Source organism: Homo sapiens, chromosome 17, assembly GCF_000001405.40.
Source record: "Homo sapiens chromosome 17, GRCh38.p14 Primary Assembly".
Classification (NCBI taxonomy): domain Eukaryota; kingdom Metazoa; phylum Chordata; class Mammalia; order Primates; family Hominidae; genus Homo; species Homo sapiens.
The window spans coordinates 36,335,779-36,362,884 of NC_000017.11; the positions used below are offsets into that span (position 1 = coordinate 36,335,779).

Sequence of the window (27,106 nt, forward strand, 5' to 3'; positions counted from 1 at the left end):
CATACACCTCCCTCTCCCCTCCCAGCGTGCCGCAAAGCAGGCGTCAACGCCATTGTTAATGCACGGAGGAGGAACCTGACTGTTAGACCTGGGTTTTCCAGGGTTGCACGGCTTCTGGGAGACGGATGTGACCCTGAGGACAGGGCACAGGCCAGTGTAATGCCAGGATGGAATGAGCTGTGATCTGTGCTGTATAGAGGCCTAGGCCAAGGTGGGACTGACGGATGACCAGGTCAGCCGGGTCACTGAAAACACTCTTGGGTCCTCACCTGCCGGTTCCCAGGAGTCCGGAACTGCCAGGAGAGTGGTGGCAGGTCCCCCATCCTCAGCTGGGTGGGCCTGGATAGAACAGCAAGGCGAGGGCACATTTCCCTGGCCATTCCCTCCAGGCACAGCTGTGACCTGTTCATTCCAAATTTGTGGAAGTATTTCCACACACACAGAACTGCAAATAGCAGTGGACATGGTGAGAGGCGTTTGCACATGGGATAGGCAGGATTTTGGAGGCAGAGCCTCCAGGGCTTGCCGATGGGTTAGCTGCAGGGCTTGAGAGGGAACGGAGAATCCAGGATGATGTGTTCAAATCGGTCCATTCACCTCTTCCGTTCCACGCCTGTGCTGGGCACTGGGAGAGACAGATGCACACAGGAGCCCCGGCCGAGGGGAGGTGTGGGGGGAAGCCCAGAGTGTCTGGGCAGGGTAGGAAACCCAGAGCGTCTACTGGGAGCTGAAGGCTTAGGTCCACCTGGGTGCCGTCCAGGTTCTCTGCATGTAGAAGTATAGGCTGAGCTTCCTGGAGGAGGAGCAGCTGCTGTTGCTGGTGACCAGCACATTCAGGAACGGAGACTACTCTGTCAACAGACAGGGGGATGACCTGAAGTCTGGATGGTCTAGGGGGTGGTAGGGCCCAGGAGGACCCAGGAAAGGGTCTCGGGGATGCAGAACATCCTATGGAGGGCATTTGGGAGTCAGTGCTCAGGTCACTCCGGGTCACGCAGGTCATTTGCCGGCCCCTGTCATAATTATTGCCATATGAGAGTGCCACCTTTCCTGTGACATAATTTAGACATTCCTGTGAATGGCCTACCTGTTTATATTTACAACTTCATGTTTAAAGGAAATTTGTATCACTCTCATAAATGGAAAGCCAGCAAAACATAAATTCAATGAAAACAAAATGAAGTCAATGAACTTTAGCTAGATACTATTCCCTGACCAAGGCCTGCTGGAGGCCGTACAACCGGGGTTTGAATTGAGATCTGCCAAGCTTCTGAGTTTATTCTGTTTCCCCCACACCAAGGATCCTCAATACTGCATTACTGACATCAGGGGCCAGACAATTCTTTGCGATGGGGGCTGTCCTGCACCTGGCAGGATGTTTAGCAGCTTCTCTGGCCTCCACCCACTGGAAGCCAGGGGAATGCAGAAGAGGCTTGCTTATTCTCCCATTTAATGCTCAGGACAATATCTGACATCAATGTTACGTCTTTTATTTTATAAATGAAGACAATGAGACTCAGAAAGGTTTAAGTGAGTCACCTAAGAACACACAGACAGCAAGAGGTAGAACCCGAAACTGAACACAGGTGTCCACGAGACAACAAAAAAGTTCAGGTTCCAGCTTCCTTTGAGTCTCTCATTTCAACAATGGCCATCGTCTGCATACGAGCTGAAGTACAGGAAAGCTGGGCTGAACTCTCTTCCCATCAGGCCTAGGAGCCCCAGACCAGAACCCCAGCCCAAGTTCTCCCAGTCAGGCCCGCTGGAGGGAGCTGGCATCTACACTAGCATGGTTTCTCAAAGCTACAGGGATGCCAGTCTCGCTGCTGATGAAGAAAATGAAGGGCATTTGCTTCTCCTGCAGGCTGTCGGGATTTAACACAGATTCCTTTTCTTGCTCTCTTCTCCCATAGCACAAAACTGGGTGGTCCATCCCCCTCCCAGTGTCCCAAGGCTTTGTTGCGTGTTCTCTTTAATTTCTCCCACTCTCGCAGTGCACCCTACCCTCGTCTCCCTGGCAACCTTTCTGCTCTATCCTCTCGCCACCTGGATCACAAGAACACTTGTGAGACCCCTTAACAAGCTACATCCCAAATTATCATTCCCCTTTGTCCTCAGCCAGTGCCCGGGTCCAACTCGCTCTCCTGGGGTGACTTTCTTTCCTGCCCAATATGGTTTCATCATCTGTAAATTGGGGATAATTGAAGTCTTGATCCTGATATTGGGCTCTGAAAGCAGAAGTAGCAAGCTCAGCCAAGTCACTTCAACAAGAGGAGACGTTCCTTGTGAACCAAAAGGGCACTGGTCACAAGGGCCGCTCCTTCTCTCAGGCCTCTCCAGCACGCCCTTGGCTCAGCCAAAGAAGAGACTCAGGCTGTGCTTCTGTGCTGTGGGGATAACGTAGGTACCTGGTCCTTGACCCTGGGACTTTAACAGTTCCCTCTTGTGGCTCAGTTCTACAGCTTCAATGACACAAAGTGGCTTTTGCTCAAAATAGCCTTTGATAGGTTAAGGTACTCCTCTGCCACTCTAAGTCTGTGTGGAACAGACAGGGTTTTGCTTCACAGAGAAGATGCATAAAATTTGGTCTTAAAAATGAGTTCACCATGCACACATACACACGAAAAAAGTAAATACTGCATTACTGTATATATGAGGTTCCAAAATAGGCAAAACTAATTTATGGTGACAGAATAGTGGTGACCTCTGAGGGTCAGTGTTGACTGGGAGAGAACAGAAGAGAGCCTACTGGGGTGCTGGAAATGTTCTGTATCTTAATTTTGCAGGATAATTCCTTGGATGCATCCCTAAAAATTCAGTCAAGCTATATAGTAAGATTTGTGCAGTTTATGTAAGTAATAGGAGAGATAAGAGGGGGAACCTGTGGAGAAGCAGAACATTTCAAGATCTAGAAAGCAACAGTTGCAAGGGTACACAGTGTTCAGACAGGGACCAAATCATAGAAACTACTAGGGCTTGCCATGCTGAAATGACTGACTTCAAACCATAGGGCATACGTACCTTCCACTGAAGAAGAGCACCTGAGTAAAATGACTAGAGGTGCATTTCAAAGATTATTCTATGGGAAATATAAAGAACGAATTGGAGGAGTAGGAGGCAAATAGTCCAAGGGACAGATACAGATCTTTCTTTCTCTTTTTTTTTTTTTTTTTTTTTTTTGAGATAGGGTCTCCCTCTGTCACCCTAGCTGGAGTGCATTTCTGCGATCATGGCTCACTGCAGCCTCTACTTCCTGCGCTCATGCAATCCTTCCATCTCAGCCTCCCAAGTATCTGGGACTCCAGATGTGCGGACCACACCTGGCTAATTTTTTTATTTTGTTGTAGTAATGGGAATCTCACTGTTGTTTCCCAGGCTGGTCTTGAACTCCTGAACTCAGGCAATCTTCTGGCCTTAACCTCTCAAAGTGCTGGGATTACAGGTATGGGCTACAGTGCCTGGCCTTATTAAAATGTTGATGTAATAAATGGGACTACCTAGTGCTGTGCTTTCTCCTTAAAGGAGAGAGCTGACAGAATAAAACTAGCAGTAATAATCTGGTAAATTGTGCTTTCTACAGAGTAAATTTTGTTTGTCTCATGACATTTATGCAAATATTCAAATGTTTCAGGAATATAAACATTTAAAATTTGGGTTATAAATAATGCCTCCTGGCTCTGAAATTATCTGAATTCATGAAGCAATCAGTAGTAAATATGAAGGAAAAATGAAACACAGCCTTATATGCAAGGACAAACACAAATTTCTAATTCTTGTTATAATTTGGGTGCCCACCTGGTTTTGAAGGTGAGCCTTGGTTTGACTGGTTCTGAGACATTTCTCTCAAATAGCAAATGAGTAGTGGGTATGAATAGGGTACATTGGAAAGTCATGTCAAAATTCCATGTAATTTTTGGAGCGTTTTTTCTCCCATATGATTTATATAATTTGACATGTGTATTCCTATGTAAAATATTTAACCACTTCTCTACAATAAGCATTAAGTGGGCTAATTAGTATGCTCTTCTTATTCCATATTTCTGTGATTTCTCTTATCTGGAACGACTTTTTTATGCCACCCAGGCTGGAGTGCAGTGGCACATTTACTGCTCACTGCAGCCTCAACTCCCCAGGGTCAAGCCATCCTCCTATTTCAGCTTCCCTAGCAGCTAGGACTACAGGTGTGCACCACTATGCCCTGCTAATTTTTGTGTTTTTTTGTAGAGACGGGGTTTTGCTATGTTGCCCCGGCTGGTCTTGAACTCCTGAGCTCAAGAGATCCACCCACCGCAACCTCCCATAGTGTTGGGATTACAGGCGTGAGCCACTGCACTCAGCTTCTTTTCTAATTTGTTTTTATTCTGAGATCAGATGAGATCGGCATGTTCAGGTTGGTATGGCCATAGACTGCTTTTATCTATTCTAATAATTTTGTATTGTACAATGTGTTGGAAAGGCAAGATGAAGTTAGATTATGAAGGGTTCATTTCCATTCAATTCTGTCTATCCTTCTGGACTTTGCCTAAATCTTACCTTCTTTGGAGCTTTCCTGAACTAACTTATCTCCTTTGAATTCTTACATTTGGATCCTTTGTATTTGAGTATTTTTACATATATATGTACATAAATAACACGTTTTATGTGTAGTAATTTACTCTCCCAACTAGATTGAAAGCTGCTTGAAGAGTAACCTTTTTTTAAAGTCACATTGGACCGTTTTAAGTACAAATTTAGCATATGCTTGATGATTGAGAGAACCATATGGTTACAGTCATTGGTGTGTCTATGATTGTGATATGTTGCTATTTAAAAATCAATAGTTATTTCTTATTTAGTTTTCTGTTAAGCCATAACCTTTTGCTCTCATTTATACATCTTCTGAACGTTAAGTAACATGTGGCTCATATTTCAAACTCCCAATTTGGAAGTTTATAGCAATGTAACTGAAGTTTATAATTACAGGTCTCAGAAAACTGCACTACACAGAAGTTCTCTATGTGTTAGAAGAATTTATTAGAAGATAGACAATTGTAGGTTACACTGTAATTTAGAAGACTTTTGCGCATCTCATGTATTTGTGTCAGTTTGAGAATTTGAAAATGCCCCCAAAATGTCTGTTCTTCACTAGTGCCTCTTGTGATCCTGGCAGAGATAAGCTAAACTTTTGAAAGGGTAGACTTTTTCTGTTTATCTTAGTATCCTGAGTCCCTAAATCTGGAATGTAGTAGATGTTTGTGCATTTCCCTATGTCAGCGAAGTCAAAATACTAGAGGTGGATTTTTCAGCTTTTCAAAGTTTTCACATTTACTAAGTCCTTCACAGTTATCGCCTACTAGTTAAAAAACTATTTGCCTCAATTTAGGCCAGTGCTACTTTGACATTTGCATTGCTGTAAAACCCTTACTAAAAGGTATATTTTTCTGGTATATAAATACATGTATGCAGCTTTTCTCATATCTTTGAGAAAGCAAAAAATTGTACTAAATTATGATTTCCACTGTAATAGGATTATGGCTTAGTCATGATCAGTATTATGTTTTCAGCTATGTCTTACTAGGATTATTGTAAAAGACTTTCAAAATAGTTCATGTGAATCTTTGTCTGATCTTCACAAACTCGGGTATGTACATAGCTCTCCCCCACCTTCTCCTGGCTTTGGCAATTTACTTTATTTTTATGGTGGTTATATATATATATATATAAAACATACCATTTACCATTTGAACTATTTTAAAAAGTGTACAATTAGTGGCATGAAGTACATTCACAATATTGTATAACCATCACCACTGTCCATTTCCAGAACTTGTTCATCATCCCAAACAGAAATTCTCTATCCCTTTTCTTCCCCAGCCCCTGGTAACCTCTATTCTACTTTCTCTTTTTATGAATTTGCCTATTCTAGACACTTCATGGAAATAGAATCAAACAATATTTGACCTTTCTTATTTCACTTAGGATAATGTTTTCAAGGTTTATCCATGTTGTAGTACATAGCAGAATTTAATTTCTTTTTTTGACTGAATAATTTGTATATACTACATCTTGTTTATACATCCATCTGTTGATGGGACATATTTGGGTTGTTTCCACCTTTTGGCTATTGTGAATAATGTTGCTGTGAACACTGGTGTGCAAATATCTATCTGAGTCCTGCTTTCACTTCTTTTGGATATAAACCTAGGAATGGAATTGCTGGGTCATATGGTAATTCTATATTTAACCTTTTAAGGAACAGCTAACCTGGTTTCCACGGCTTCTGTACCATTTTATATTTCTACCAGCAATGCACAAGTGCTCCTTCCATTTTCTCCATATCTACCCAATACTTGTTATTTTCTGTTTTCTTTCAATTAATAACCATCCTAATGGGTGTGACATAGTATTGTCATTTTGATTTTTAGCTTCCTAATGGCTAGTGCTAATGAGCATTTTTTTATGTGCTATTGGTCATTTGTATGTCTTTTTTGGAGAAATGTCTGTTCAATCCTTTGCCCATTTTTGAATTGAGATGTGCGCTTTTTTGTTGTTGAGTTGTAGTTCTGTAGTTCTTTATACATTCTGGATATTATTCTCACATCAGATATATGATTTACAAATATTTTCTCCCAAATACTTCTGTGGGTTACAGATATATTAATATCTGTAGATTGTCTTTCATGGTCTTGATAGGATCTTTTAATGCCCAAAAGTTTTTAATTTTGATGAAATAATGTATGTAGTTTTGAACTTAAACAATGTTACAGATTGCGCAAAGGATATAACCATGAAATTCTGATGGAGTGACCCCACAGCTGCAGAAAACCAGAAAGAACCCTACTCTAAAACCCAAAAGACTTCCCTAGATAGAGTCCTTCGAAAATAATTTTCTAAATTATTCACACAGCCTGTGGATAAATTAAGAGGAAATGATATCTGTAACAGTGCTGCTTGTGATGAAAACACAGAAGAGTCAATTATATTATCAAATCTTAGCTGGAATGGAAAATCAGGAGGATATTTATTAGCAAACATTAATAAAAGGTTGGCCTTTATTATTGTAAGCATGTACACAGACGACAGCATGTAGTCTCTACCATAAGAATGAGAAATGCCTCCTATCTTTATGCATTCTGAAATTTAACCTTTCTTAACCCAATTGCTGTAAGGGCCTAGGGTTTATTTGTTATGTGTGTTATTGGAGTAGAGACTGTTTGAAGGTTAAGGGGGTATTTAGTGATGCAAGTGACATTTATATGTTTTAAAATCTTCTGCTTTTCTAGGCACTTTTTAAAATGAAATGCTATATTTTTAAACTTTTAAAAATTATTTTTATTATTTTTTGCAGAGATGAGGTCTTGCTGTGTTGCCCAAGCTGTTCTCAAACTCTTGGCCTCAAGAGATCCTCCTGCCTTGGCCTCCCAAAGTGCTGGGATTACAGGCGTGAACCACGTGCCTGGCCCAAACTTTTTAAAGACTTTATTTCTGGAGGCAGGTTCTCAAAAGATATCCTATCTTAATGGGCATATATAGAGAGAGAGTAGTAGGTGAGTTTAAGGGGGATGTAAATATTGGCCGAAAGAGGTTTCTTTTAGGTATATAACCCCTCAAATGTAGCCCTTTGGATATCAAAAGTTTATTATGGCAATGTTCTTTGTGCATTTTTATTCGATGTTGTCAGCCATTCATCTAATAACTCTTCAGAAGATTTTGTCTCTGGGCAGTGGCATTTTATAACTTCCTATATGGAAGAAAACTTTTATCCAACTGATAACTGATATGCCAATGTGTTAGTATGAAAAAATTTTCCCAACATTCTTACCAGGTGTGGTGGCTCAACCTGTAATCCCAGCACTTTGGGAGGTGGAGTCGGGCGGATCACTTGAAGTCAGGAGTTCGAGACCAGCCTGGCCAACATGGTGAAACCCTGTCTACTAAAAATACAAAAATTAGCTGGGCGTGATGGCAGGCACCTGTAATCCCAGCTACCTGGGAGGCTAAGGCAGGAGAATTGCTTGAATCTGGGAGGTGGAGGTTGCAATGAGCCAAGATTTCCTCACTGCACTCTAGCCTGAGCGACAGAGTGAGACTCTGTCTCAAAAAAAAAAGAAAAGGAAAAAAAAAGAAAATTTCCCAAAATTCAAATGTCGTTTCACTGCGTGGCTTTGTTTGATTATTAATACTTTAATACTGTGTTTAAAATTAATATTTATTATTTTTAAAAATCAGCTTCCTTAGGTCAAAGAAACATTAATGTTTAATATTAAGCTATTATTGTAGCTTAGTGTAGTTATAATAAGATACTGGAACTCATGGAAGGGGTTAGATTTTCTTCATCTTAGAAACCGTTACTTTTCATAAAGTATATATTGTGCAATTATATATAAAATTATATAATAATTAGATATACAAATAAAAAATCGGATTATAGTTGGGCTCAGTGGCTCGCATTTGTAATCTCAGCTCCTTGGGAAGCTTAGACTGGAGGATTTCTTGAGTCCAGAAATTTGAGGCTGCAGTGAGCCATGATTGTGCCACTGCATTCCAGACTGGGCGACAGGAATGAGACCCCGTCTCTAAAAATAAAAACTAAAAAAAAATAGATTATGATTGGCAAAAGATTGAGTGACAGTGAAAATGCAATGAATATTTTGACTACTATTTTTTGATTACATACATAGGAAGATACGAATTTTTCTGTCTTTCCAAATTAGTTTAGAAATTAAAGATTTGGCCGGGCATAGTGGCTCACCCCTGTAATCTGAGCACTTTGGGAGGCTGAGATAGGCAGATCACCTGAGGTCAAGAGTTTGAGACCACCCTGGCCAACATGGTGAAACCTCGTCTCTACTAAAAATACAATAAAAATTAGCTGGGCATGGTGGCATGCACCTGTAGTCCCAGCTACTTGGGGAGACTGAAGCAGGAGAATCACTTGAACCCAGGAGGCGGAGGTTGCAGTGAGCCAAGATCGTGCCACTGCACTCCAGCCTGGGCGACAGAGCGAGACTCTGTCTCAAAAACAAACAAACAACAACAAAACACCAGAAAAAGGAAAAATAGTGTTAAGAGATAACTTAGTATGTATTGTTTGTACACTTCATGGGTGTGCATATATGACGTGTTTGGTTTTATAGTGAAAATTCTAACATTCTGCTGTATGGTTTATGGTGCATTGTAGACGTTCCTTTAAGCACTCAATGATAAAGATTAAAATTACTAAGATAGAGAGTAAATCTATGTTATATGTAGTCATTTCTCAGTTTGCATAGTAGTATGGGACTGTAAAAATGACCATGCAAGCTAAGACTATTCAAAGGGATCACAGTAATCAGTGGAAAAAATTGTGATTGTTCTGTTGGACCTTTAAAAATTTTTGTCAAAACATTAAAAACTCTCTCACAGTTGGTTATAGATATACAGGGTAAGAAGAAGCGTGGTATCCACAGAGAAGGAGGGAGCTTCATAAACAAAGACAAACAGGAATATCAACTACCAGCCACCAACAGCACTCTTGTAAAACTTATTTAAATATTACAAAAAACAATATACAAGATTACTAAGAGATTGGAAGATAAAGGGAGAAAATTTCACTAATGATCTCATCACCAAACACAGTTAATTATTTGCTGTTACTCTTTTATCAAATTAGTGTTTAGTATTGTTTTAATCATAATGTACATACAATTTTGTATCTTGCTTTTTCTGAGATGTCTGTTTCTGTCCATGTTATACATACCTATACAGTCCTGTGCTGCATGATGATGTTTTGGTTAACGATGGACTGCATACACAACTGTGATCCCATAAGATAATAGTAGAGCTGAAAAATTCCTATTGCCTAGTGACATTGTAGCCATTTACTTGTTTTTGCTTTCTGCTTTTTTTATGTAGTCATTTACTATACTAAACCTTTAATCATTATTTTAGAGTATACTCCTATTTATTTAGAAAGGTCCCCCAAGGGAGGACAGAAAACACTCATAATTTAATGTTATTGTCCTTTTCACACATATGTAGCTATATCTATTATATTTTATTTTACTTTATTTTATTTTAATTTTTGAGACAGAGTTTCACTCTGTCACCCAGGCTGGAGTGCAATGGTGCAGTCTCAGCTCACTGTGACCTCCACCTCCCAGGTTCACGCAATTCTTCTGCCTCAGCCTCCCGAGTAGCTGGGATTACAGATGTGCACCACCATGCCTAGCTAATTTTTGTATTTTTAGTACAGACGAGGTTTCACCATGTTGGCCAGGCTGGTCTTGAACTCCTGACCTCAGGTGATCCACCTGCCCCAGCCTCCCAAAGTGCCGGGATTACAGCACTTTTACAGCATGAGCTGCCATGCCCAGCCTATTTTATTTTATTTTGTTTTATTTTATTAGAGACAGTCTTGCTCTGTCCCCAAGCCTGGAGTGCAGTGGCGTGATCGTAGCTCACTTGGCTAATTTTTAAACTTTTTGTAGATATGGGGTCTGGGTATGTTGCCCAGCCTGATCTTGAACTCCTAGGCTTAAGTGATCCTCCTGCCCTGACCTCCCAAAGTGCTGGGATTACAGGCGTGAGCCATCCTGCCCAGCCTGTATCTATTATATAAGCTGGTTTTTTTGATTACTTTAATGTAAATGAGATTATACCATACTCTCTTCTCTGTCACTTCCTATTTTCATGTAATTTATGTTAGACATCTGTCAATGTCAGTATAAATAGGTCTAGATCATTTTTTATAGTTGTATACCTTTCGTTACATGGATGTTTCACAATTTACTTAGCTAACTACCTATTGTTGGACATTTGGTTATTTCCAAATTTTTGCTGTTTTATATAATGCTGCGCTTATATAAAATATAGTTCTATATAATTATGTTTAATTATGTACTACCGCTGTATCTGACAACTGACTTGTATCAAGAACATACAAAGAACTGTTACAAGTTGCCAGGCAGAGTGGCTCATGTCTGCAATCCCAGGGCTTTGGGAGGCCAAGGTGGGCGGATCTCTTGAGCCCAGGAGTTGGAGACCAGCCTGGGCAACATGGGGAGACCCCGTCTCGACAAAAATACAAAAATTAGCCAGGCATAGGGGCACACATCTGTAGTTCCAGCTACTTAGAGGCTGAGGTGGGAAGACTGCTTGAGCCCAGGAAGTTGAGGCTGCAGTGAGCCAAGATGACACCACGGCACTCCAGCCAGCGCGTCAAAGGCCCTGTCTCAAAAAAAAGGAAGAAGCGGGGGCGGCAAATAAGTAGAGTATAAGCCACCTCATCCAACTTTATTGGAACCAGTAGTTGACTGGTTAATCAGTCCAAGCAAGGAAGCATAAAAACTGATGCATGTGCCGGGCATGGTGGCTCACGCCCGCAATCCCCGCACTTTGTGAGACCGAGGCGGGCCGATCACCTGAGGTTAGGAGTTCGAGACCAGCCTGGCCAACATGGTGAAACCCTGTCTCTACTAAAAATACAAAAGTTAGCCATGCATGGTAGTACACGTCTGTAATCACAGCTACTCAGGAGGCTGAGGCAAAAAAAGGAGAAGAAATGCTATGTGAAGCCTTTTTATAAGCACATTAATTTCATTCACGAGGGCAGAGCACTCATGACCTAATCACCACCTTGAAAGCCTCACTTCTTAACATCATCACATTAGGTCTTAGGTTATAACATGAATTTTGGAGGACTCCAGAAAAAAAAAGTGAAAGACAACCCACAGAATGGGAGAAAATACTTGCAAATTATGTACAAAGTAGGATCACTTTATTTGTGGAAAATATGTAGCCAGACACAGTGGCTCATGCCTGTAATCCCAGAACTTTGGAAAGCTGAGGTGGGAGGATCACTTGAGCCCAGGAGCTCAAGACTAACCTGGGCAACATAGGGATACCTTATCTCTACAATAAATAAATAAAATTACCCAGATGTGGTGACATGTGCCTGTGGTCCCAGCTACTTGGGAGGTTGAGGTGGGAGAATCACGTGAGCCCAGGAGGTTGAGGCTGCAGTGAGCCAAGATAACATTAATGTATCCCAGCCTGGGCGATAGACCGAGACCTTATCTCAAAAAAAAAAAAAAATATATATATATATGTATATATTTATCTATTACCTATATATTCATATATAGATATAGATTAATATAGATATATAAACATATATTTATAGATATATAGATACATAAATATATAGCTATATATAAATATATATTTATAAATATATAGATATATATGTAACAAAATATGTTCCAAGACCTCCAGTGTATACCTGAAACTGCAGATAGTACCAAACTCTATATGTACTATGTTTTTTTCCTATACATACATACATACCTATGATGAAGTTTAATTTATAAATTAGGCACTGTAATAGAATAACAACAATAACTAATAATAAAAGAGAACAATTAGAATATACTTTTTGTTTTTGAGATGGAGTCTTGCTCTGTCACCCAGGCTGGAGTGCCATGGCGCCATCTCGGCTCACTGCAACTTCCACCTCCCAGGTTCAAGCGATTCTCCTGCCTCAGCCTCCCGAGTAGCTGGGCCTACAGGCACCTGCCACCACGCCCGGCTAATTTTTGTATCTTTAGTAGAGGCAGAGTTTCACCATATTGGCCAGGCTGGTCTCCAATTCCTGACCTTGTGATCCACCCACCTCGGCCTCCCAAAGTGCTGGGATTACAGGTGTGAGCCACTGTGCCTGGCTAGAATATACTTTAACATAAGTTACATGAATAGTTTTCTCTGTCTCAAAATACTGTAATATTTGGGATTGCAGCTGCCCGCAGGTAACTGAAACTGCAGAGAGCATACGGGAGACTACAGTATCTGACAATGGACTTGGATCTAGAATACATAAAGAACTCTTACAACTTGATAATAAAAAGGATATAACCCAATTTTAAAATGGACAAAAGATCTGAACAGATATTTCTCCAAAGAAGACATACAAATGGCCAATAAGGGCCAGGTGGTGGCTTATGCCTATAATCCCAACACTTTGGGAGGCCAAGGCAGGTGGATCACTTGAGGCCAGAAGTTCAAGACCAGTCTGGCCAACATGGCGAAAACCCATCTCTACTAAAAATATAAAAATCAGCCAGGCGTTGTGGCGCATGCCTGTAGTCCCAGGTACTCAGGCAGATGAGGCACAAGAATCACTCGAACCCGGGAGGCAGAGGTTGCAATGAGCTAAGATTGCACCACTGCACTCCAGCCTGGGCAACAGAGCAAAACCCCACCTAAAAATAAATAAATAAATAAAAATAAAAAAAAGAAAATAAATGGCCAATAAGCACAAGAAAATACACTCAATTTCTGTCTTAGTCTGTTTGTGCTGCTGTAACAAAATACCTGAGACTAAGTAATTTATAAGTAAAAAAATTTATTCCTCACAGTTCCGGAGGCTGGGAAAACCAAAATCAAGGTGATAGCACATTTGGCATTTGGTGAGGGCCTGTTCCATTGTTCCCGTTCTCGCAGTGGCATCTTCACATGGCAGGAGAAGAAAGGAAAAAAGAAGAAGAAATGTTATGTGAAGCCTTTTTATAAGGGCATTAATTTCATTCACGAGGGCAGAGCCCTCATGACCTAATCACCACCTTGAAGGCCTCACTTCTTAACATTGTCACATTAGGTCTTAGGTTATAACATGAATTTTGGAGGACTCCAACATTCAAACCATAGAAACATCATTAGCCATCAGGGAAGTGCAAATCCAAACCATGTTAAGATACCACTTCACACTCACAAGAATGGCTATAATAAACAGACACATAATAACAAGTGTTGGAGAAAATGTGGAAAAATTGAAACACTCATATGTTGCTGGAGGGAATGTAAAATGCTTTGCAATGAAGTTGGAACTGCTTTGGAAATAGTCTGGCAGTTCCTCCAAAGCTTAAACATAGAGTTATCATATGACCTGGCAATGCCAGGCTTCATCATATTCCCAAGGGAAAGGAAAACATATGTCCACACAAAAACTTACACATGAATGTTCATAGCAGCATTATTCATAATAGTCAAAAAGTGGAGACAGCTGGGTGTGGTGGCTCCCAACACTTTGGGAGGCCAAGGCGGGAGGATTGCTTGAGGTCAGGAGTTCGAGACCAGCCTGGCCAACAGAGTGAAATCCGATCTCTACTGAAAATACAAAAATCAGCGGGACATGGTATACGTGCCTGTAATCCCAGCTACTTGGGAGGCTGAGGCAGGTGAATGGCTTGAATCCAGGAGGCGGAGGCCGCAGTGAGCCAAGATCACACCACCGTACTCCAGCCTGAGTGACAGACTGAGACTCCATCTCAAAAAAAAAAAAAAAAAAAGTGATAAACAGATAAATGAAATGTGTTATATTCCTACAACAGAATATTATTGAGCCATAAAAAAAAAGGAAATAAGTACTGACACATGCTATAACATGAATGAACCTTGAAAACATTAGGTTACTTGAAAAAAGCCAGTCACAAAAGATCACAAATTGTATGGTTCCATTTATATGAAATGTCCAAATAGGCAAATCCTATCCTAAAAGAAAGTAAATTAGTGGTTGCCTAGGACTGAGGGATGGAGAAAATGGGGAGTGAGTGCTCATAGGTATGGTATTTTTTTTTTGAGAGAAATGAAAATATTCTAAAATTGATTGTGGTGGCCAGGCACAGGGGCTCACGCCTGTAATCCCAGCACTTTGAGAGGCCGAGGCGGGCGGATCACCTGAGGTCGGGAGTTCGAGACTAGCCTGACCAACATGGAGAAACCCCGTCTCTACTAAAAATACAAAATTAGCCGGGCATGGTGGTGCATACCTGTAATCCCAGCTACTCGGGAGGCTGAGGCAGGAGAATCGCTTGAACCAGGGAGGTGGAGGTTGCAGTGAGCTGAGATCGTGCCACTGCACTCCAGCCTGGCGAGAGAGTGAGGCTCCATCTCATAAAAAAAAAAAAAAAAGAAAGAAAAAAAAGAAAAAAAAGAATGTTTCAGGCAAAGGGAAGAGAAGTGCAATGGTGCTATTTCAGGCAGAAGCTTGTCAGGTTTGCTGTGGTGTGGTAGTGTGGAAGGACTCAGTGGGAAGGAAAAGAAATGAGGGCACAGTAGTGGGCAGGGCCAAGATAAAGCCATATGCATACTGCTACATTTTTTCCTTGTCCAATATATTTCATTAAATGTAGACAAAACTTATTATAAAGACATAACTTTTGATGTTTGTAAGGTCATCTGTTATTTGCACTCCTTTTTTTTTTTGAGATAGGGTCTCACTCTGTCACCCAGGCTGGAGTGCAGTGTTGCCACCACAGCTCACAGCAGCCTCGACCTCCTGGGCTCAAGCACTCCTCCCACCTTAGCCTCCTGAGTATCTGGGACTACAGGCACATGCCACCGTGCCCCACTAATTTTTTATTTTTTGTAAAGACAGGGTTTCTCCATGTTACCCAGGCTGGTCTCAAACTCTTGAGCTCAAACAATCTACCCACCTTGGTCTCCCAAAGAGCTAAGATTACAGGCGTGAGCCACTGTGCCTGGCTTGTTATTTGCATTTGTGATTTTAAAATTCCATGTTTTTTATCATAAGATTGTCAGGTGCTTTCTGGACAGGAAATGCCTTAATTTATGACTCAAAATACAAACAAGTGTAGGTGATCAAATGCATATCTATGTCTTCAATGGAAATATATATACATACAAGTCATTAACGAAGACAAATGAGAACATGAAATTCATGACCTATTTTCCTTTCCATCACCTAGCCCCCTAAAGGAGAGATCTTTTTCATTCAGAGCCCTGGGTTTTGTTTTGTTTCATGATTTGCTTTTTTTTTTTTAAAATAAGAGTTTATTTATTTATTTATTTGAGACAAGGTTTCACTCCCATCAGCCAGGCTGGAGTGCAATGGCGTGATCTCAGTTCACTGCAACTTCTGCCTCCTGGACTCAAGTGACTCTCTTGCCTCAGCCTCCTGAGTAGCTGGGACTACAGGCACGTGCCGCTGCATCCAGCTAATTTTTTGTAGAGACAGGGTTTCACCGTGTTGGCCAGGCTGGTCTTGAACTCCTGAGTTCAAGCGATCCGTCTGCCTCTGAGTCTCAAAGTGCTAGGGTTACAGGAATGAGCCGCCGCGTGGCCAAAAGAGTTTATTTTTTAAAGAAAATTGACTTCTTTGAAAACGTAGAAATGAGGCCGGGCGCAGTGGCTCACACCTGTAATTCCAGCACTTTGTGAGGCCGAGGCAGGTAGATCGCTTGAACTGAAGAGTTTGAGACCAATCTGGCCAACATGGTGAAACCCCATCTCTACTAAAAATACAAACATTAGCCGGGTGTGGTGGCAGGTGCCTGTAATCCCAGCTACTCGGGAGGCTGAGGCAGGAGAATCGCTTGAACCCGGGAGGCGGAGGTTGCAGTGAGCCAAGATTGCGCCATTGCACTCCAGCCTGGGCAACAAGAGCAAAACTCCATCTCAAAAAGAAAAGAAAAAGTAGAAATGAGGAAGCGGCCAGCCTGTGTGGGGATCTAATCAAACAAATCTTCCCCTGATGAGGGTAGCACTTAAGTTGAAAAAAATTTGCCTATATAATAAATATTGCAATACTTTATTTATTTATTTATTTATTTTTCGAGATGAGGGTCTCGCTGTGTTGCCCAGGCTAGTCTTGAACTCTTGGGCTCAAGGGCTTCTCCTGCCTCAGCCTCCCCAGTGGCTGGGCTAATAGGCACACACCACCATGCCCAGCTCTACATACTGATTTTTTTTTTTTGAGATGGAGTCTTCGCTCTGTCGCCCAGGCTGGAGTGCAGTGGCGCGATCTCCGCTCACTGCAAGCTCCGCCTCCCGCGTTCACGCCATTCTCCTGCCTCAGCCTCCCGAGTAGCTGGGACTACAGGCGCCTGCCACTGCGCCCACTAATTTTTTGTATTTTTAGTAGAGACGGGGTTTCACCGTGTTAACCAGGATGGTCTCGCTCTGCTGACCTCGTGATCCGCCCGCCTCGACCTCCCAAGGTGCTGGGATTACAGGCGTGAGCCACCGCGCCCGGCCCATACTGATTTTGAAATTTAAAAAATCTACATTCTATATTCGCATCATAGCTTCTCCCTAATAAAATCTTTGTGAGTGTTTATGGGACTTATTCCCCGAAAAATCTGCAAGCAGCCTGGTAGCTTTATATACACAGGAAAGCCAAAGGACAAACTAGGAATTACGTCAGAGATGGGGAAAGACTAAGGATCTTACCCAAATCAGTTGAGAATCAGCCTTAAGTATAAATGGGCCAGGTGTTGGTGGCTCACACCTGTAATCCTAGCACTTTGGGAGGCCAAGGCGGGCAGATCACTTGAGGTCAGGAGTTCGAGACCACCCTGGCCAACATGGTGAAACCCCGTCTCTACTAAAAGTACCAAAATTAGCCAGGCGTGGTGGCACGTGCCTGTGGTCCCAGCTACTTGGGAGGCTGAGGCAGGAGAATCGCTTGAACCTGGGAGGCAGAGGTTGCAGTGAGCTGAGATCACGCCACTGCACTCCAGCCTGGGTGACAGAGTAAGACTCCGTCTCAAAAAAAAAAAAAAAAGTATAAATGAAGCACAATTAACATTTGTTAATTTTATAAAGCAAAAGTTCATAAAAATAAATATTCTAATTAACTCTCCTACATCTTATAAACACTATTACCAAACCCATTTAAGATTGAAGATAAATTATATCATGGCATGGGTAAAGATTTTCAATAAGGAGTTGCTAGGATAAAAGTCAAAATTCTCCAGCATAAATTCACTGACAGGGATTTCTGTTTAATCTTTTCAAAATTCTAATACCCAATTTGTTTCCTCTAGAGAATAACTCGTGTAGAATCATAACCTCTTTGGTGGACCTTGATTTTTCCATCTGTAAAAGTATAGAACTAGTTTTGACTTAACAGTCAACAAATGCCTACCCTCTCCACATCTAGCTGATTAGAGCGCCCTCATGTGCGCATTTGCTGTAATGTTTTAGAAATCTGAAAAAGACAATATTAATCTCAGCAGTAATACAATAAATAATGTCTTCATTTGCACATTTATAGCAAATGCTATAAATATATAGCTCCAAGTATTACTCAGTAAAAGCTAAAGGCAAATGCTGTAGTAGGTTAATCTTACTGTCGTTCACTATCAAACCTTTCATATGCCAATTTTATCCTAAAACAGTGAAGTTATTGTTTTGGTTTCAATTTTAATTTAATGACTTAAAGGATTTTTTCCCTTAAAACTTCTAAGTATTTCATTATAATATTATTTCATCATTAGGCTTAAAGGAAAATATGTGGTCAATTGAGTTGTTATTTATTATACATGATAGCTTGACATCATCTTTTTAGGGATGGAAAACAGCTCCAGGGACCAAGTCTAACTCAGTTTTTTGATATAAGAATTTACCTGTCGGCCGGGCGCAATGGCTCACACCTGTAATCCCAGCACTTTGGGAGGCCGAGGCGGGCGGATATAGGTCAGCAGATCAAGACCAGGAGTTCAAGACCAGCCTGGCCAAGATGGTGAAACCCCATCTGTACTAAAACTACAAAAATTAGCCAGGCGTGATGGCAGGCACCTGTAATCCCACCTACTTGGGAGGCTGAGGCAGGAGAATCACTTGAACCCGGTTCAAGTGAGCCGGCTGCAGTGAGCCAAGATCACGCCACTGCACTCCAGCCTGGGCAATAAGAGCAAGACTCCATCTCAAAAAAAAAAAAAAAAAAGAATTTACTAGTTTGAATCATAACAATTTCTTCCTACTCAAAGAGACTACATTGGAGGAAGCCAAAACAGAAGCTTATTTATTTATTTATATACTTTATTTATTTATTTTTGAGACAGAGTCTTGCTCTGTCACCCAGGCTGGAGTACAGTGGTGTGATCTTGGCTCACTGCAACATCTGCCTCCCGGGTTCAAGCGATTCTCCTGCCTCAGCCTCCCTAGTAGCTGGGATTACAGGTGTGTGCCACCACGGCCAGCTAATTTTTGTATTTTTAGTAGAGACGGGTTTTCACCATGTTGGCCAGGCTGGTCTCAAACTCCTGACCTCAGGTGATCCACCTGCCTCAGCCTCCCAAAGTGCTGGGATTACAGGCATGAGCCACCAAGCCCAGCTTAGAGAAGCTTATTTTTTAAAAGAAAATACACAAAAAAATCAAAATCTCATAAGTCCAATTGTAATTTTTTTTTGGCTTTTAAAAATTGTTAATGCCCTCAAATATTCTCCTATCCAATCACTGTATTTTAAATGGCATTCCTCCAGCAAATATTTGTTGAGCCCCCACTATGTGCCAGGATTGAAATGTCAAATTGAAGGAGGCAATAGCTACTGAAGTAAAGCAAAAAAAAGTACTGGTTATTTTTCCTTCTATAAAATGACCTAGTAATAACCGCTTTACCCAGGAGAGTTGCTGTAAAGATCTAATAACATGACACATATAACCACACCCCTAAAGAATGAGGTGTTACCGCATGTTCTCACTCATAGGTGGGAATTGAACAATGAGAACACATGGACACAGGAAGGGGAACATCACACTCTGGGGACTGTTGCGGGGTGTGGGGAGGGGGGAGGGATAGCATTAGGAGATATACCTAATGCTAAATGACGAGTTAATGGGTGCAGCACACCAGCATGGCACATGTATACATATGTAACTAACCTGCACATTGTGCACATGTACCCTACAACTTAAAGTGTAATAATAATAAAATAATAAAATAAAAAAAAGAAATTTTGCTTAAATAAATATTATAATAAAAAAAACAAATGAGGTGTTATTAAAATGTTTGCAAGAGAAACCCTAGTAATTCCAAGCACATATTTTAGGAATGGTTTCTTGTGTAGAAAATCCTGGAATGTGAGGCTCTGCTGATTTTTTTAATGCATATTCTCTTCTTATGTATGCGGAATTTTTTTTTTTTTTGAGATAGAGCCTTGCTCTGTTGCCCAGGCTGGAATGCACTGGCACAATCTTGGCTCACTGCAACTGCCACCTCCTGGTTTCAAGTGATTCTCCTGCCTCAGCCTCCCGAGTAGATGGAATTACAGGCGTGTGCCACCGCACTTGGCTAATATTTGTATTTTTAGTAGAGATGGGGTTTCACCATATTGGCCAGGCTGTTCTAGAACTCCTGACCTTGTGATCCACCCACTTCAGCCTCCCAAAGTGCTGGGATTACAGGTATGAGCCACTGCACCTGGCCTATTTTTGTTTTTACTAATGTTTCAAGAGACCCACTTTATGTACAGAATTCTGGCTACAACCTAACAAATGAGTTGCTCTGTTCATCAGTTATAGCCAATTTAAGTAATTATGAAAAGCTCAACAATACTTTTAACTGGCAACGAAAGCGTCAATAGCTCACATTTACCACCACAACTTAGGATTTCTTGGTAGCTAAATAAAATGCTTCTATTTTGTGGGGGGAAACTGTCACATAAGTTGAAATTCTGCAATGTTCAATTGATGAAAAGGTCTCTATGTTAAATCAAAGGTATAAATTCCACATCAGTAGTACATGAAAGAGAAAAAAAAAGCCAAAATTAAAGTGATTCATGCCCACTTCCCTGAGTGAACCTAAGATTTTACTAACAGAGATGCCGTAACTTTGATCATGCACACATCAAACTTGAATTTAAAAACATGCATGCACTCACTCATCTTTTATCTCTTATGTAATTAATACTGTAAGATTATATTTTGCCTACGTGCTCTATATTACTAATTTATAGGATTATTACTATTCAGTGTTGTTTACTTGAAACCATACTGTACTATACACAACTTTTGCATTCCATGCTAACTTTATTTTTTTAATTATTTTTTTTTTATACAGAGTCTCACTCACTCTATTGCCCAGGCTGGAGTGCAGTGGCACGATCTTGGCTCCTGCAACCTCTGCCTCTCGGGTTCAAGTCATTCTCCTACCTCAGCCTCCCAAGTAGTTGGTACCACAGGTACATGCCACCACACCCGGCTAATTTTTGTATTTTTGGTAGAGATGGGGTTTCACCATGTGGGCCAGGCTGGTCTCGAACTCCTGACCTCAAGGTTATAGGCCTGAGCCACCATGTCCCAGCTCCATGCTAACTTTAGAGCTTATTTCCCATCCCATAAGATACAACACTACTTGTGTTATATAGTGAGCAGTGTGGGGAAGAAAAGCATAGAATTAAGTTAGTGACAAATCCAGTGAACTCAAAAAGAGGGAAAAAAACACTCCCAAACAATTGTTTTCCCCATATTCTATTCTCCCTAGAGGTATTCCATACAGGAACGACAAAAGAAAAAAAAGGATACAAAATGAGAAAGATGTTCATGTGACATATAAGTACAGTAATAAAATCAACAAGCATATATGGTATTTAAGCAAAATAGTATGTATGCATTGATGGTCATCTGATATAAATCCATCATTTCTGTTGGCCAACATCTAAAACCTTTACTTTTCTGAGGAGACAAGCTATAAATCTATACGGATATTTCTACAACAAGAATTCACTATTACATATGAACCAATATAATTTGATGTCAAATATTCACAATTAGGTTTAAAAAATCCCCTACTTGGCCGGGCGCAGTGGCTCATGCCTGTAATCCCAGCACTTTGGGAGGCCAAGGCGGGTGGATCATGAGGTCAAGAAATCAAGACCATCCTGGCCAACATGGTGAAGCCCTGTCTCTACTAAAAATACAAAAATTAACTGGGCGTGGTGGCAGGCACCTGTAGTCCCAGCTACTCAGGAGGCTGAGGCAGGAGAATCACTTGAACCCAGGAGGCAGAGGTTGCAGTGAGCTGAGATCGCGCCACTGCACCCCAGCCTGATGACAGAGTGAGACTCAGTCTCAAAAAAAAAAAAAAAATCCCCTACTTATGTTAAGAGTACCAAAAATAGGGCCAGGAATGATGGCTCATGCCTATAATTTTGGCACTTTGGGAAGCCGAGGTGGGAAGATAGCTTGAGTCCAGGAGTAAAATAGTGGGACTCTGTCTCTACAAAAAAATAAAAAATTAGCTGGATGGGGCACACACCTGTAGTCCAGGTACTCACGAGGCTGAAATGGGTGGATCACTTGAGCCTGGGAGGTCAAGGCTGTAGTGAACTGTGATCACACCACTACACCCTACACCCAGCCTGGGCTACAAGGTGAGACCCTGTCTCAAAAAAAAAAAAAAAAAAGGTACCAAAAATCTATAGCTGTTTCAGAAATAAAATACATGTAGTTAGTGAGGTTTTTCTCTCCCACTGCTATGACTTAATTTTTGGTTGAGATGCTAAGCCAAACATCATTTTAAGTCTGTGGCCCAACCAAAAAAGGGAATCATACTCTCCAAAGAATTGTACATTCCCACTCTAATTGCTAAAATAAAATGTTGGATTATGAAAATCAATTTTGTAGGTATCAATAATTTATAAGAGCATGGCTTATTTAAAAAAAAAAGTGGGCCAGGTTACCTACATGAGCTGCAAAGCAAGCAAACTGAATTTTCTTATCGAAGAGCCCATCCTCATACTTAAAATTTCCCATGACTACATGGAAATTCTTTCACTTACCAAAAACACCTGATTGGCACTTTCACTGAGAGTTGTGTCATCTGGGCTGTCGACAGGTGTCTGACGTGTAAACTTGGAATCAAACTGACTTACATCCTCTTCAGATTGCTCTATACAAACAAAATAATTTAGAAAATAATGAATAGTCCATATGACATCAATCAAATGCACTGTAAGCTCTGGGAGCTCTTTTCGCAGGGGTTAACTATAATAAAGTATTAGAATAGTCTTAGCAGGCACTATTCTAATAGTGGAGAAATGCAAGTGGAAGAAAAAAATGCAAGTGGAAAGTACTGAGTCAAATTACATCTTCAAATCTTAAACATGCACTAAAAAAGATTTTAGTATACTGTTATTCCTATTAAAAATGTGAATATATTGGCTGGGCATGGTGGCTCAGGCCTGTAATCCCAGCACTTTGGGAGGCTGAGGCAGGCAGATCATGAGGTCAGGAGTTCAAGACCAGCCTGGCCAATAAAGCGAAACCCCGTCTCTACTAAAAATACAAAACATCAGCCGGGCGTGGTGGCGGGCGCCTGTAATCCTAGCTACTCGGGAGGCTGAGGCAGGAGAATTGCTTGAACCTGGGAGGCAGAGGTTGCCGCAAGCAGAGATCGTGCCACTGCACACCAGCCCAGGTGACGGTGCGAGAGTCTGTCTCAATGAAAAAAAAAAAAAAAAAAGAATATATCGAGCTCAAAACAAGCTGGAAAAAATGTGAATATCAATTTCCCCTCTCACAAAGCTTCAGTGTGCCTAGTCCACTGGCTAAATCCCTGTTTAGAGATAATTAATTCAGTTGGCTACTGCAGGTTTGTAATAAACCTGAAAAACTACTGAAGCAGAGTTAAAACATGAATAATACTGGTAAGATGCTCCAGTTAAAGTTTCTTCCCACAGCTCATTTCATTCCTTCAGAAATCTAAAGGAGCAAAAATAATTTTCTATTCCGCATGGGTTATAAGTTATATTTCCTTGTGAAAGTATAGTTATCACTTCAGTTCTAACCATGAGATTTATTTATTTAATTCCTTCTCTCTTTCCCAAAATATCTGGTTAAACTCTTGGGCCAAATGTAAGAAGTAAATAATAATTTAGAATATCTGACTTAATACTAAAAGATGATGACCACATTGACCTTATAATTCTCTTAGAGCCCAGACTGTGAACCTGCACTCCCTGGAGGAATGGCTGATTCCAAGTGTGGGGAAAATGTACAAGATAAGCATAGAACACCAGTTTCCTTATTTTGCTCTCTCGTACAACACCAGACAATGTGCTCATGTCAAAAGGACTCAGAACCCAACATGAAGATGCACCCAGCATTCACTGCACCCAGCATTCAACGAAGGGAAAAAACGAGCACCAATAAAAATAACTGCTAGGTGCGGTGGCTCACGCCTATCATCTCAACACTTTGGGAGGCAGAGGCAGGTGGATTACTTTTGAGCTCAGGATTTGAAGACCAGCCTGGTGAACACGGCAAAACCCCGTCTCTACCAGAAACACAAAAATTAGCTGGGCATGATGGTGTACCTGTGGTCCCAGCTACTCAAGAGGGTGAGGTGGGAGGATTGCTGGAGGTCAGGACGTCAAGCCTGCAGTGGGCAGCGATTATACCACTGCACTACAGCTTGGGTGACAGAGTTAAGACCCTGCCTGAAAACAATAAATGAATAAATAAAAATAAAATAAAAATAACTGCGATGAAAGGAAACACAAATATGTTAAAACGTGTAAGTTCATAATATACTAAAAAAGAAAAAAACACACACAAAGTTCATTGGTCAATTTTGGAAGATGCTAGGGAACTAATTCATTATTTTGAAAACTAGGAAAGAATCAAACATACATCCTGCCTTTTCTGTATGAACTGTACCTTGGGTAACTAACTGATCAAAGAGTTTCTCTTTATGAAAGAATTCCAGCTAACAAAGAAAGAAGAAATAACAGTTAGAATAAAACCATTTCACAAACACCTGATGAAACTACAAAAGTAGGCCAGAGTTTCTCAACCTCAGGGCTACTGACATTTTAGGCCTATTAATACTTTGCGTTAGGGGGCTGTGCTGTGCTGTGCTGACTCTTACCCCTGAAGGTACCTATAGCATTCCCTCTCCCAAGCTGTGACAATCAGTGTGTCTCCAGACATTGCCAAATTACCCTGGTAGTGAAATGCTGACACAGGCAGTGACCACTAACATCACTAAAAAAACACACATACGCACACACAAGTACACATTATGCCTCCTGATCAAAGCATATGCGATACTGAGAGTGTAATCTGAATCAGATCAACCACCTAAATTTAACTACCAGTTTTTGGAAATTTGGGGAACAGATGAACATGGTCAATGACACTCTGGGGATAATATCAGCAAAATCAAAATTTGAGAATTCTACAGGACAAATGACCCCGTTTCTTCAGTAAATCACGAGGGGAATCTATAAAGGAAAAGAGACCTAAGAGACATAGTAACCAAACTACATACAGACCTTGATTAAATCCTTACAAACAGGAGAAAAAAAAAAAAAGAATGGAACAACAACAACAAAAAAATTAGGTGGGGCAACACAGGGAGACCTCATCTCTAGAAAAATTCAAAAAATTGGATGTGGTGATGCACCCCTGTGGTCCCAGCTATATGGGAGGATCCCTTGAGCCTGGGAAGATGAGGCTGCCATGAGCCACTATCATGCCGCTGCACTCCAGCCTGGGCAACAGAGAAAGACCCTATCTCAAAAAAAAAAGAGAAAAAAAAAACTGGGGAAACTGTCAACTTCTTAGGTGTGATGATGGGATGACAGTTATGTTTAAAGAAGATGATCTAATTATTTTTAAGCTGGGCAGTAGGTGTATGACAGTTCTCCTCCTTACAATTGTTTGTTGTTTTTTAAAGTGGGTCACATTATGGGGCATGACCAAAAAATAATCACCATCATCATCCTCCTCCTTCTCCACCTACAGCCCAAGGAATGGAAAAAGAAACTGTGTTTTCTCAGATTCTGAGGTGGCAGAAAGACAATAACACACTAACTCATTTACTCATAAACATATTGTTATGGATTGAATCGTGTCCCTTACCCACCCCCCAGAAAATTTCGTATGTTGAAACTCTAACCTCTAGTTCCTCAGAATGTGACCTTATTTGGAAAGGGTTATTGCAGATGTAATTAGTGAAGATGAGGTCCTACTGGAGTAGAGAGGAACCCTAATCCAATATGCCTGGTATCCTTATAAAAAGGGGAAATTTTGCCACAGATATGCACACAGGTAGAACACCATGTGAACATGAAGGCAGAGATCCAGGTGATGCACCTACAAGCCAAAGTATGCCAAAGATGACCAGCAAACCACCAGAAGCCAGGGGAGAGGCATGGAACATAAGGTTTCTCACAGTTGTCGAAGAAACCAACTCTAACAACGTGATCTAGAACTTCTAGTCTCCAGATCTATGAGATAATAAATTTCTGTTGTCTAAGCCACCCAGTTTGTGGTACTTTGTTGCAGCAAGCCTAGCAAACTAATGCACACATATTCTATATTTTGAAGAAAAAATTCCCAGAGAATCATATTTAAAATGGTTAAATTAAGCAAAATAAAACAAACCAAAAAAAGAAAAGTCCCAACTACCTGAAATATTTAATTGTCTTAGGAAACTGACTTAAAAATATCTAATACAGGCCAGGCGCGGTGGCTCACGCCTGTAATCCCAGCACTTTGGGAGGCCGAGGTGGGTGGATCACAAGGTCAGGAGTTCAAGACCAGCCCGGCCAAGATGATGAAATCCTGTGTCTACTAAAAATACAAAAATTTGCTGGGCATGGTGGCAGGTGTCTGTAATCCCAGCCACTCAGGAGGCAGAGGCAGAGATTTGCTTGAACCCAGGAGGTGGAGGCTGCAGTGATCCGAGATCACACCACTGCACTCCAGCCTGGGGGACAGATCAAGACTCCGTCTCAAAAATAAAAAAATAAAAATAAAGAGGAAGAACGCTATGGAATTTGACTAGAATTAGGGCTAACAATATGAAGCACTTTGGGAAGCCAAGGCAGGTGGATCACCATGTCGGCCAGGAGTTTGAGACCAGCCTGGCCAACATGGTGAAACCTCATCTTTACTAAAAATACAAGAATTAGCCAGGTATGGTGGTGAGCACCTGTACTCCCAGTTACTCCAGAGGCTGAGGCACGAGAATCACTGGAACCCGGGAAGCAGAGGTTGCAGTGAGCTGAGGCAGCCTGGTGTCCAAGCTGTGGTGAGCCATGATCATACCACTGCACTCAAGTCTGGGCAACAGAGGAAGTCCCTGTCTCAAAAAAAAAAAAAAAAGGGCCAGGTGCAGTGGCTCACACCTGCAATCTCAGCATTTTAGGAGGCTGAGGCGGGCAGATCATGAGGTCAGGAGTTGAAGACCAGCCTGGCCAACATAGTGAAACCCCATCCCTACTAAAAATACAAAAATCAACCGAGTGTGGTGGCATGTACCTGTAATCCCAGCTACTCAGGAGGTTGAGGCAGAAGAATTGCTCGAACCTGGGAGGCGGAGGTTGCAGTGAGCCAAG

At 41.2% G+C, this 27,106-nt stretch overlaps 1 long non-coding RNA gene across 1 annotated transcript; it reads right to left on the reverse strand.

Moving 5' to 3' along the window:
- Positions 1-13,408: 13,408 nt before the first annotated feature.
- Positions 13,409-25,788, reverse strand: LOC102723414 (uncharacterized). The gene is made up of 3 exons (XR_429949.5): positions 25,663-25,788; positions 22,541-22,648; positions 13,409-13,464 (listed from the first exon to the last, which is right to left on the reverse strand). It is a non-coding gene; the product is annotated as an uncharacterized LOC102723414 (long non-coding RNA).
- Between the last annotated feature and the right edge of the window lie 1,318 nt (positions 25,789-27,106).